The 12454-nt window shown below is 44.7% G+C and overlaps 1 long non-coding RNA gene and 1 pseudogene across 2 annotated transcripts in view, besides 1 other annotated feature; one reads left to right on the forward strand and one right to left on the reverse strand.

Moving 5' to 3' along the window:
• SRP72P1 (signal recognition particle 72 pseudogene 1) lies at nucleotides 1985-3842 on the reverse strand (annotated as a pseudogene).
• LINC02837 (long intergenic non-protein coding RNA 2837) overlaps nucleotides 6322-12454 on the forward strand; it is a 28150-nt gene continuing 22017 nt past the window's right edge. The window contains exons 1-2 of one of the 2 annotated variants that reach the window (NR_183517.1): nucleotides 6322-6369; nucleotides 6651-6828. This is a non-coding gene — a long non-coding RNA (long intergenic non-protein coding RNA 2837). Of the gene's footprint in view, nucleotides 6370-6650; nucleotides 8806-12454 lie in introns of those variants that run through there. The other variant, NR_183516.1, reaches the window with a different exon arrangement.
• Nucleotides 6870-7765: an enhancer, noted in NCBI's record as "NANOG-H3K27ac hESC enhancer chr18:47026295-47027190 (GRCh37/hg19 assembly coordinates)". NCBI's record gives its function as "activates a minimal SCP1, AML or CMV promoter by ChIP-STARR-seq in naive and primed H9 embryonic stem cells {active_cell/tissue: H9 hESC(naive and primed)}" and the evidence as "EXISTENCE:reporter gene assay evidence [ECO:0000049][PMID:30033119]".

Below are 12454 nucleotides of genomic sequence, written 5' to 3' on the forward strand. Positions count from 1 at the left end.
TCCCTCATAGTCAGTGATGCACTTAGCTTTTGTTAGGGCTTCTATTTCATGGCACCACCCTTCTAGGCAGCTCAAACTCTAGGAGAGTAGACTCCAGGCTAGGCTCACTTGCTTCCTTGACCTCAGTGTAGGAGACCTCAGCCCTAAGTCTCTCCCCTCGACTCCACTTCCATTGCTGATGCTGGATTCCATGGTGTTTCCTCGGTAATTCCCTCCCCTCACATGAGCTTTCAACTGCATGCTAACTCCCAGATTAATACCCCAGCGCCACATCTGTCTCCTGAGCTAGACCCTGATAGCAAACTACTCCCTGGACATCCTTTCTGGGAGGTCCCTGAAGACCTGAGGTTATTTGAAACCTAACATGCCCTTAAACAGAACTCTTTGTCTTCTCCTCCGGGTTCCTCTTTTATGTTGCATGGTGACAAGAGTAACAGACAATGGGCCGGGCGCGGTGGCTCACGCCTGTAATCCCAGCACTTTGGGAGGCCGAGGCGGGCGGATCACGAGGTCAGGAGATCGAGACCATCCCGGCTAAAACGGTGAAACCCCGTCTCTACTAAAAATACAAAAAATTAGCCGGGCGTAGTGGCGGGCGCCTGTAGTCCCAGCTACTCGGGAGGCTGAGGCAGGAGAATGGCGTGAACCCGGGAGGCGGAGCTTGCAGTGAGCCGAGATCCCGCCACTGCACTCCAGCCTGGGCGACAGAGCGAGACTCCGTCTCAAAAAAAAAAAAAAAAAAAAAAAAAAGAGTAACAGACAATGATTCTATAAGCTTACTAGATTCTAGGCAGTATTTTCAGTGTTTTTACATGCATTTCCTCAAGTAATCCTTAGGACAACTATTTGTAAATGATGAAGTTGATCTGGCTGCTACAATGTGAAGAAGAAAAAAAAGGAACTCCCCGGCAAATCCAAGGTCCGGCAGCTGGGAGTGGCAGCCCTGGGATCCAAGGCAGCCTTCTGTAACCAAGCTCTGCATCCCTAGGCGACCCTGCCTTTCTCCCTTCCTTGTTTGGCGACTTCCCCATACACCTAGGATCTTAAACCAGAAAGATGAGAGACTCCCCTCTTCTTGTCTTTGCACATACAATTATTTAACAAAATCTGGATTATTCTTTTAAGTGGTCTTCTTGCCCTAATTATTTCTGCACTTTAATATATCCTCCATATTCCTGACAGTCATTTTTCTTTTCTCTTCTTTTTCTTTCTTTCTTTCTTTCTTTCTTTCTTTTTTTTTTTTTTTTTTTTGAGACAAGGTCTCACTCTGTGGCCCCAGGCTGGAGTGCAGTGGTGTGATCTCAGCTCACTGCAACCTCCGCCTCCAGGTTCAAGCGATTCTCCTGCCTCAGCCTCCCAAGCAGCTGGGATTACAGGCACCCACCATGATGCCCAGCTAATTTTTGTATTTTTAATAGAGATAGGATTTTGTCATGTTGGCCAGGCTGGTCTTGAACTCCTGACCTCATGTGATCCGCCCACCTCAGCCTCCCAAAGTGCTGGGATTACAGACGTGAGCCACCACGCCTGGCCCTGACAGAGTCATTTTTCTAAAATGGCTGTCAGAATGATCATGTCATTTTTTGGGTTTTTTTTTTCCTGTGGCCCCTGTTCCAAATATTTGGGGATGATATAAGAGCCTTCCATGATCTGGCCTTTGCCTTCCTCATCTTTTATCCCTTCTTTCTCCATCCCCTATGGACTCCAACCATATTTTCTCTGATTTTAGGGAGAAATCAAGCCTATAATTAAAAACAGTCACACCACATTTGAGTCTGTCAGCCAGCATTGGGTTAGATTAGAAGACATTTAAGCCTTGTGAGATCATTTCCTTTTGAGTGAATAGTTTGTCTTTTGAACCTTCAGTGATTTTCCTATAAAACTTAAATGAACTTTTTTCTTAGATGGAATCTCTCTGTTGCCCAGGCTGGAGTGCAGTGGCTCATTCAGAGCGCACTGCGGCCTCTCTCTTTTTTTTTTTTTTTTTTTTGCTTCTTGGTGTGTTACCTTTATTATATTCCTAGACTAGTTTAAAATTATATTTCTGAGACTAGTTTAAAAAACAGCCTGCAACAAGAGTATTCTCATCACCAGCTACCTTTTCCACCTTTCTTCTTTTTCTGTTGCTGTTTCTTTTTTGTTGCTGGAGCGCCTGCAGGTTTCTGTGTCTTGGGGGTATGATGTTACTTGCAGAGGCAGATAGTGTCGCTGCACTGCCAGGTCTTGGGGAGGGGGCGGGCTGCTCACAGTTTTTCTGGCATCCAGTTCTGATGAAGCTCCTGCAGTTGCTCCCTGGATCCCTTTTCCAACCTGATCCTTTTTACCTTTCTTTCTTCCCCAGTAATAAGAATGTTCTTGCATTGGTAGCCATCTTTCTGGATCTGGGGTAACTTTTGGGTCATAATTCTCAGGCAATTTTCCCATCTTTTTCTTCTTTTTCAAATTTCCCCACCCTTGCTCCTTTTGTTGACTATCTCCAGTAACTTTGCCACCCTTCTTCCAAATGTACGTAGCACCAGGAGAATTTTCAAGAGCCTTGACATCTACTTTTAGAGACATGCTATCTGATAATGACAAGTGTTCACAAAGAGCTTTGTCTTTCTCTGGATCTACAAGTGAGTAAGCAGAAATAAGCTGTGTCAGGGTGTGAAAATCTTTTGGATTTTGTTTCCATTGTTGTTCTAGGTCACTAATTGCCTCCTTCTTCTGTCTATATTTGAGTTTGAAGTTCGCAGCTTCTCTTATCAAGGACAAATGAGCAGGAGATTTGGGCCAATGGTTTTGACACCACTGGATAGTATGTGTGAAGACCTCAATGGCACTATCAATATCTTCTTCATGGCTATACATGATCACGAATGCAGACACCATGCCTGGTTTCTGCTTTAACTCTTCTATGCTTCTCAATATTAGACATGCTTATAAATATTACCTTGAGAAATTTTCAACTGTGCCATGGTCAGCTTAATTTCAGCTGCATTTTCTGGATGTTGATCTGAAAATTCCTGAAGCAGCTCTGTTGTTTTTGTGTGCTGCTTTCCAGGCAAACCTGAGCAGCTTGGATTAACATAGGTGGGAGATGCTCGGGACTTTGGGACTATAAATTGGTGGATATTTTGCGGCATTAATTGGCCTGGTTTGTGTACGTAGCAAGTAAAGCTTTGTTAAATTCTATAGCTTGTAGTTGTTTCTTGGAAAGCTCAAACTCCACTCTTTCTGCATTGATTAATTTCACCTTCTTCTTGGAGTCAAAGACATTTTGGTCCTTGTTAATGGTAATGATGTTGTTTGCAATTACAGCTAGTAATCCCACATCTGTTGGTTTCAGTTTTATTATTTGATTGTAAAGTTGCAAAGCCTCCTCTATTCGACCCTGAAGCTGCAGAGTATAGGCCATCTGACCATGAATGATGGCCAGTCCTGCCTGTGGGTCTTTCTCAGTCCTATCACAGTCTTCTGATCATGAACAGCGGCAAAGATCTTCAGCTTTTCGTAGGATTGTCGTGACCTGGTTCAGCTGGCCTTGTCCAATCAGCGCATGTGCAGTGTTGTAGCACAGCTCATGTGCACCTTCTTGGAGGCCCAAGTTCTCTGGAACCACTTTTTCCCAATTGCTTTGAGGAGTAACAACTGCTGAAAGGTTTGTTTTCGTCTCCTTATCATAATCATCTTGGGAGTTTCAGGCGAGATCTCTGTATACTCTAAGTATTTATCATAGCGTTCCAAGCGGCGTAATGCTTGTCCATAAAACTCCTTCAGTTTGTCTGTCTGCTGGTTGGCACTTTCTATTGTCTTCAAGGCATTCTTAATTCTGTTCAGTTGTAGTTGCAATATTCCTTTTCTTTTTTTTCGAGATGGAGTCTCGCTATGTTGCCCGGCTGGAATGCAATGGCACAATCTCAGCTCACTGCAACCTCTGCCTCCTGGGTTCAAGTGAAATTCTTCTGCTTCAGCCTCCGGAGTAGCTGGGATTACAGGCGCCCACCACTACGCCCGGCTAATTTTTGTATTTTTAGTAGAGACGAGGTTTCGCCACGTTGGCAAGGCTGGTCTCAAATTCCTGACCTCGTGATCCGCCTGCCTTGGCCTCCCAAAGTGCTGGGATTACAGGTGTGAGTCACCATGCCCAGCCCGGCCTATTGTTTATTTTGTTCTTTCTTTTCTTTCCTGTAGTTTCCTGACTAGTGGCTTACCCATTATTCTCGTGTTCCTGGAATTTGTGATACAAAAACAATGTACTGCCGAGGAATAGCTTATATTTTGTTTTTTTTTTGTTGTTGTTGTTTTTGTTTGTTTGTTTGTTTTGAGACGGAGTCTCACTCTGTCGCCCAGGCTGGAGTGCAGTGGTGCGATCTCGGCTCATTGCAACTTCCACCTCCCGGATTCAAGCCATTCTTCTGCCTCAGCCTCCCGAGTAGCTGAAACTACAGGCGTGTGCCACCACGCCCAGCTAATTTTTTGTATTTTTAGTAGAGATGGGGTTGCACCGTGTTAGCTAGGTTGGTCTCGATCTCCTGACCTCGTGATCCACCCGCCTTGGCCTCCCAAAGTGCTGGGATTACAGGCATGAGCCACCGCGCCTGGTTAGCTTATGTTATTTTACTGTAAATTCTTGGTAAACAATTTAGAAACTGCCTCTTCTTTTTTTCCTTTAAAAATTCACTTGTAATTGCTGTGAACCAGAGCATACATTTAGGGCAATTTGAATTTATGCTTCCAGGTTGCAATCTTCAAACTTGGCCCAGATAAACTACTTATATTACTTTTGACTCTGTTTTTGCCTTGTGTGTACATAATGTCATCTGATTGTCTCACTTTTACTGATATTAACACTGGGCAGTTGGCCGGGCACAGTGGCTCGTGCCTATAATCCCAGCTCTTTGGGAGGCCAAGGTGGGAGGATTGCTTGAGCCTTGGAGTTTGAAGCTGCAGTGAGCCATGATCATGCCACTTCACTGTACCCTGGGTAACAGAGACACCGTTTCCAGAACCAAAAAAAAAAAAAAATGGGCAAATGAGTTCAGGAGTTGTTGCTGTGACCCCTTCCTTATGAAGTTTCTCATCAGCTTTTCATCTAATGGCTTTAGGAGCTATTAAGTTCAGAGCTTACATTCATTATGTCATCAGGTGTTGAAAAATAATGACTTTGTAATTCTGTTATTCCATAGCATTTTTAATATTGGACTTGTGTAAAAAAGAACTTTCCCTCTTTCAATAATTTGGTTATCTTTCAATATTTTTATACCACAGAGCAGAGAATAAGCAAAAAAGTTGCAATAAGTAATGCCCGTAGGTCTTGGATCCATGTGGGACATCATCCAGGGGAACCTGCCCTTGGTGTGTCCAGCCTGCACCTAGTGCAGCTGAAGGGCACTGGGAGGGCCTTTGTTCCTTGGGTATGTTAAATAAACTGGGTTGTGCACCTGCATTTTCACTGTGACCTGTCATGTGAAGTCAGGTGTGGAATTTTCCACTTGTGGTGTTATGTTGGTTCTCAAAAAGTTTTCGATTTTGGAACATTTCGGATTTCAGATTTTCGGGTTAGGGATACTCAGCCTATACCACGTGTTGTGGCCGGATGCTTCACATTTACTATTAATCATGGACCAGGCTTGGTGGCTCACGCCTGTAATCCCAGTACTTTGGAAGGCCGAGGTGGGCGGATCACCTGAGGTCAGGAGTTCCAGACCAGCCTGACCAACATGGTGAAACCGTCTCTACCAAAAAATTTAAAATTTGACAGGAGTGGTGGCACATGCCTGTAATTCCAGCTTCTTTGGAGGCTGAGGCATGACAATCACTTGAACCCAGGAGGTGGAGGTTGCAGTGAGCTGAGATCGTGCCACTGCACTCCAGCCTGAGTAAGAGTGAGACCTTGTCTCAAAAGAAAACAAAAAAAAAACCAGTAAAACAAAAAACAATAAACAAAAACAAAACAAAACAAAACAAAAAACAAGGTTAACGGAACCTCATGATTGGATGAGATGGCTGTGGGAAGCTGGGCTGCCCAGGAAGCGGACTCAGAGAGCAAACCGTGCGCCTGCCTTCCACACTGGAAGGGAGCGTCAGGAAGCCGAACTGCAGAGGGTACTGACGCAGCCCCAACACTTCTCCCCGACCTCAGGGGGGATTCAGTAGCTGGAGATTCCCGCAGCTGCCCCACGTTGGGGGTAAGGCTGGGCATTTGTTCCTCCCCTATTGTTCAGTCATTGGCTGTGGGCGGCCCCAGGAAGAAGGTGTGACCTTGGGTGGGGCAGTCTTCTTCAGCCAATCCTCAGAAAGGACTAACAGCACTCTCAGCAGAGGGAGACTGAGTCCTTCATTCCTGGGAGGTGTCTGGGAAGCACATCGCAGTGTGCACCGCAGCAGGTATTAATGTGTCATTTTACAGATAAGAAAACTGAGGTTCAGAAGGGACAGAGCCAGGATGTCAGCCTAGATCTATTAATACCTTTGAATCCTGTGCTCTTTCCCACCGTCCTTGCTGCCATTTCCGCACATTTTCATGCCTTCCCCACTTCTTACCGGGACCGCCATGTTTCTGGGTAATCTTGTACTCTCTGTTCTAGTCTTGCTCTCCTGTCCTGCCCCGGGCAGTCTGTCTCTTGGTCAGCTGTCTCTCTTCACCCCAGCTTTGGCTCTGTTCTCAGGGCTTGATCCACCACATCACATTCCGCGCTCGCTGCTGCCTGAACTCATCAAAGTGGACCCAGTGAAAGCTGTGTTGAGGAGGACTATTCTGGTGCTGAGGCTGGGTACATTCATGAGGCCAGGAACACGGGATTGAATTCCAAGCAGAGCACCAGGATACCTGTAGCAGAAATCCAGGCAAGAGCCAAGAAGATGGGAACGGAATAGCAAGCGCTGAATTAATTAATTAATTAATTAATTTTTTGAGATGGAGTCTTGCTCTGTCGCCCAGGCTGGAGTGCAGTGGTGTAATGTTGGCTCACTGCAACCTCCCCCTCCGGGGTTCAAGCGATTCTCCTGCCTCAGCCTCCCAAGTAGCTAGGATTACAGGTGCCCGCCACCATGCTCGGCTAATTTTTTGTATTTTTAGTAGAGACGAGGTTTCGCCATGTTGGCCAGGCTGGTCTGGAACTCCTGACCTCAAGTGATTGGCCGGCCTTGGGCAAGTGCTGAATTTAAACACGGCTCTCCTGAGGACTTCTATTGGGTTCTGCCTAGTGGTAACCGCCGAGGCTTCGCTTACTCTGTAGATCTCCCGGGAGCAGCAGGAAACAAGAAACCCTTAGCCTTTTCAAAGTAATAGCCATTCTCCTCACTGACCTGACAAAGACGGATGTCAAGTGGGCCCTGCAGGAGTTTGACAGTTTGTCCAAACAACTGTTTTTAGTTGAGGCTATAAATTCTTAGGAAAGGGTTTGTCAGTGTGGCACATTAAATCAGTTGGCCAGTATGCATTACTCTGACCATCTTCTTAGAAAGCAACGTCTTTGGGGATTTTCAGATGAGTGAATATTCAATGCTCTGTCTTTTAGCATTATCATCCACTTCCCCTGCCCCTCATAGAATTCTCTTTAGAGGATTGGCTCCTGGGCCTCCAGGAGAGCGGGCAGTAGGGTAGGGTGGTGGGAGGAGAGGAAAGTCTTAATCCCTTGCCAGGGATTTACTTTGTTCTTCTCAGTCGGAGCCTCCCGTACAATGCTGTTTTGAGCTTCACTTAGAAATTGGCTTTATTAGCTAGGAAAGGGGAATTCTTTTCACAACAATCGGAAAATGTAATCCCTTAGTCAGGCGGCTGGAGTCCTTTAATTCACCTCTCCGGACCTTGGGCTGCTGGCTGCTCCTCTCTGCCGCCTGGCTGTCTCTCCCTTACCTCCCAGAGTTAGGGTAATAGCTGACATTTTTCTTCACTAGGCTTTCCTAAGGGATTTCATTCCATTTGTGAGACACTTTAATTCCTGAAGCTGCAAAGTTTGCTTTTTATTACTATAGCTCTACTTATTCTGCATAATTTTATTTATTATTTGTTTATGTATTTATTTTTTGAGACAGAGTCTCGCTGTGTTGCCCAGGCTGGAGTGCAGTGGCGCCATCTCAGCTCACTGCAACCTCTGCCTCCTGGGTTCAAGCAATTCTCCTTCCTCAGTCTCCTGAGCAGCTGGGACTACAGGCACGTGCTACCACGCCCAGCTAAGTTTTGTATTTTTAGTAGAGACGAGGTTTCATCATATTGGCCAGGCTGGTCTCGAACTCCTGACCTTGTGATCCACCTGCCTCAGCCTCCCAAAGTGCTGGGATTACAGGCGTGAGCCACCACGCCTGGCTTATTCTGCATAATTTTTAAGAGTTGTGAATTGTTTTAAGATCAAATTTAAAAGTACATTTTCTTTCTTATCTTGTCATTAACTGATGTTGGGTATGTGTGTGTGCTTGTGATTTCCCTGGCTGGACCAGTGTATAACTTCAAAGAGGGCTGGTGCCTTGCCTTTAGTCTGCTGGATAGCACTCCTCCAGACCCTCCCTTTGCTGAGCAGCTCCGTGGACCTGTGCAAATCTCTACCCAGCTTTGTTGGACAACAAAATACCCTGGAGAATATCAAGCCCTTTAACATACCCAGTTTGTGCTCCCAGACGTAAGATCTCTTTGGCCATGTATGTGGGATTCCCATGAAGGAGAAGCTTCATTTCCAGCAAGAATCTGGCTTCCACCTAGACTTGGGAAACAGATACTGAAAAGCATATTGCTGATCAACTAGACAACCTACTTCCACTCTTGATTGCCCCTGTAATCCATCTAGAACAGCCAGAGCAATTTATTTATTAAAAAATTTAAAATTGGCCAGGTGCGGTGGCTCACGCTTGTATCCCCAGCACTTTGGGAGGCCGGGGTGGCAGATCACTTGAGGCCAGGAGTTAAGATCAGCCCGGCCAACATGGTGAAACCCTGTCTTTACTAAAAATAGAAAAAGTTGCCAGGCAAGATGCCTTACGCCTGTAATCCCAGCACTTTGGGAGGCCAAGGCAGGTGGATCACGAGGTCAGGAGATGGAGATTATCTTGGCTAACACGGTGAAACCCCATCTCTCTCTACTAAAAATACAAAAAATTAGCCGGGCATGGTGGCACACGCCTGTAGTCCCAGCTACTTGGGAGGCTGAGGCAGGAGCATGGCTTGAACCTGGGAGGCGGAGGTTGCAGTGAGCCGAGATCGCACCACTGCACTCCAGTCTGGGTGACAGAGCGAGTCTCTGTCTCAAAAAAAAAAAAGAAAAAGAAAAAAGAAAAGAAAAGAAAAAATTAGCCGGGCATGGTGGTGCGTGCCTGTAATCCCAGGTACTCGGGAGGCTGAGGCAGGAGAATCTCTTGAACCCGGGAGGCAGATGTTGCAGTGAGCCAAGATCGCACCATTGCACTCCAGCCTGGGTGACAGAGTGACTCCATCTCAATAAATAAATAAATAATAAGTAAAATTTTAAAATTATTCAAAAATTTAAGATTATTTATATGTGTTTTATAGAAAGTCAGATATAGCAGGTAAGCAGATTAAGAAAATAAAATCCTTATATTTCCAAAAGATTAAGCTTTAATATATCCTTCTAGTATAGTGTGAGATATATACTTCATGTGTGTATGTATATACATATATACTTACCAGGTGAAATTATACTGTACATGCTATTTCATAATCAGATTTTTTTCCAGTTAATCTCAATTTTACCATGTTGATACATTTTCATCTCTTCTAATACCTAACCTCAATTTCAGTTATCCCAGTTGTTCCCCAAATGTCCTTTCCAGTTGGTTTGTTCAAAGCAAGACCCGCCAGGCACACTGACTCACACCTGTAATCCCAGCACTTTGGGAAGCTGAGGCAGGCAGATCACTTGAGGCCAGGAGTTCGAAACCAGCTTGGCCAACATGGTGAATCCCTGTCTCTACTAAAAATAGAAAAAATTAGCAGGGTGTGGTGGCACACACCTGTAGTCCCAGCTACTCTGGAGGCTGAGGCATGTGAATTGCTTGAAGCTGGGAGACAGAGGTTGCAGTGAGTTGAGATCATGTCACTACACTCCAGCCTGGGTGACAGAGCAAGGCTCTGTCTCAAACAAACAAACAAACAAACAAACCAACCAACCAAAGCAGCCACACACACACAAAAAAACCAGAAACAAAGCAAGACCCAATCTAGGTCCCACATGACATCTGGTTGTTGTTTCTTTTTATTTTATTTTTGAGACAGAGGCTTGCTGTCACCCAAGCTAGAGTGTATTGGCGCGATCTCGGCTCACTGCAACCTCTGCCTCCGGGGTTCAAGTGATTCTCCTGCCTCAGCCTCCTGAGTAGCTGGGATTACAGTCGCCCACCATCACGCCTGGCTAATTTTTGTATTTTTAGTACAGACTGGGTTTCACTATGTTGGCCAGGTTGGTCTTGAACTCCTGACCTCAGGTGATCTGCCCGTCTCGGCTTTCCAAAGTGTTGGGATTACAGGCATGAGCCACCGTGCCTGGCCAGGTTGTTCTCTTTCATAATCAGTTTTAGAATCAGAAAATTTAACATTTACTATAATAATATTATCTAACCTAGAGACCATATTTAATTGCCGCCAATTTTCCCAACAATATCTTTTATAGAATTTTTTTTGGACGAAGAGCCAAATTCAGAATAAGGCATTGTGTTTGGTTGCCATGTCTCTTTATTTTTCTTTAATCTGAATAGCTTGGCATTCTTTGTAAAAAGAGCTTTCTCTTATTAACTGGGGTGATTTGGTTGTCCTAAAATACAGTTTCTAGAACTATGATAACTATAACCAGAAAATGTAATCTTTAAAAAATATAAACTATATAATATAACACTCCCCACTTCTCTCCAAAGCACTTCCCAGGTTAAAACCCTTGAAAGACTTCACATTTCACACCCAATAAAGTCCAAACTGCTTACTGTGCTGTGCAGGCTGATCTAGCTCCAGGCCCTCATTTCCTATACTTTTCCTCTGCACTGACTTTGCTCCAGCCACATTGGCTCCTTGCTGCTTCAGGGATACAGTCAACTCATTCCTGTCTTGATGCCTTTGCTTTTGCCCTTCCTTCCAATGATTTACAACTAGGTCTTCACGTGTTGGCTTCTTCCAGTCACTGAAGCCTTAACTCCTTCCCTGACACTCAGTCTATGGAGCTCCTCTCTGACATAATCTTGTTTTATTGTCTTCACAACATATCTCACTGAATGAAATTATCACATTTATTAGTTTTCTTCTTAAATTTCTATCTCCTTTTCAAAAAATGTAAGCTTCATGAAGACATGGTTCTTTTTTTTTTTTTTTTTTTTTTCTGAGACAGAGCCTTGCTCTGTCGCCCAGGCTGGAGTATAGTGGCGTGATCTTGGCCCACTGCAACCTCCGACTCCCGGGTTTCGATGATTCTCCTGCCTCAGGTTCCCCAGTAGCTGGGATTACCGGCGCATGCCACCACGGCTAATTTTTGTATTTTTAGTAGAGAGGGGGTTTCGCCATTTTGGCCAGGCTGGTCTCGAACTCCTGAGCTCAGGTGATCCGCCCACCTCGACCTTCCAAAGTGCTGGGATTACAGGCATGAGCAACTGTGCCTGGCAGAAGACATAGTTCTTGTCTGTTTTTTTTTCCTCTAGTGCCTAGAATAATTTTTTTGTTTATGATAAGTTCTCAACAAATATTTCTTGAATTACAACATAATACTGGAAGTCCTAGCCAGAGCAATTAGGCAAAAGAAAGAAAAAAGGACATTCAATTTGAAAAGAAGGAAGTAAAATAGTCCCTGTTTACAGATGACATGATTTTATATATAGAAAAATCAGGCCGGACGCAGTGGCTCATGCCTGTAATCCCAGCACTTTGGGTGGTAGAGGATGGTGGATCACTTGAGGTCAGGAGTTTGAGACTAGACTGGTCAACATCGCGAAACCCTGTCTCTACTAAAAATACAAAAAAATTAGCTGGGCGTGGTGGTGCATGCCTGTAATCCCAGTTACTCAGGAGGCTGAGGTAGGAAAATCACTTGAACCTGGGAGGTGGGGGTTGCAGAGAGCCGAGATCACACCACCACACTCCAGCCTGGGCAACAGAGCAAGACTCTGTCTCAAAAAACGAGAAAAATATAAAGACTCTACTCAATAAGTCTCAGAACTAATAAGTGAATTTAGTAAAGTTGCAGGATACAAAATCAGTATTCAAAAACAAGTAGCATTTCTAGACACAAACAAGAAAAGAAATCAAGATGGCACAATGGTGTACGTCTGTAATCCCAGCTACTCGGGAGGCTGAGGCAGGCAGATTGCTTGAGCCCAGTAGTTCAGACCAGCTTGGGCAACATAGCAAGACTCCCATCTCAAAAAAAAGAAAAAAAATTTAAAAGGTAATCCCATTTACCATAGTTACACCCCAACCCCCCCCAAAAAAGCCCCAAACCCTAAGAATATTTTTTTTTTTTTGAGATGGAGTTTTGCAATTGTT

This window comes from Homo sapiens, chromosome 18 (assembly GCF_000001405.40).
Source record: "Homo sapiens chromosome 18, GRCh38.p14 Primary Assembly".
Lineage (NCBI taxonomy): Eukaryota > Metazoa > Chordata > Mammalia > Primates > Hominidae > Homo > Homo sapiens.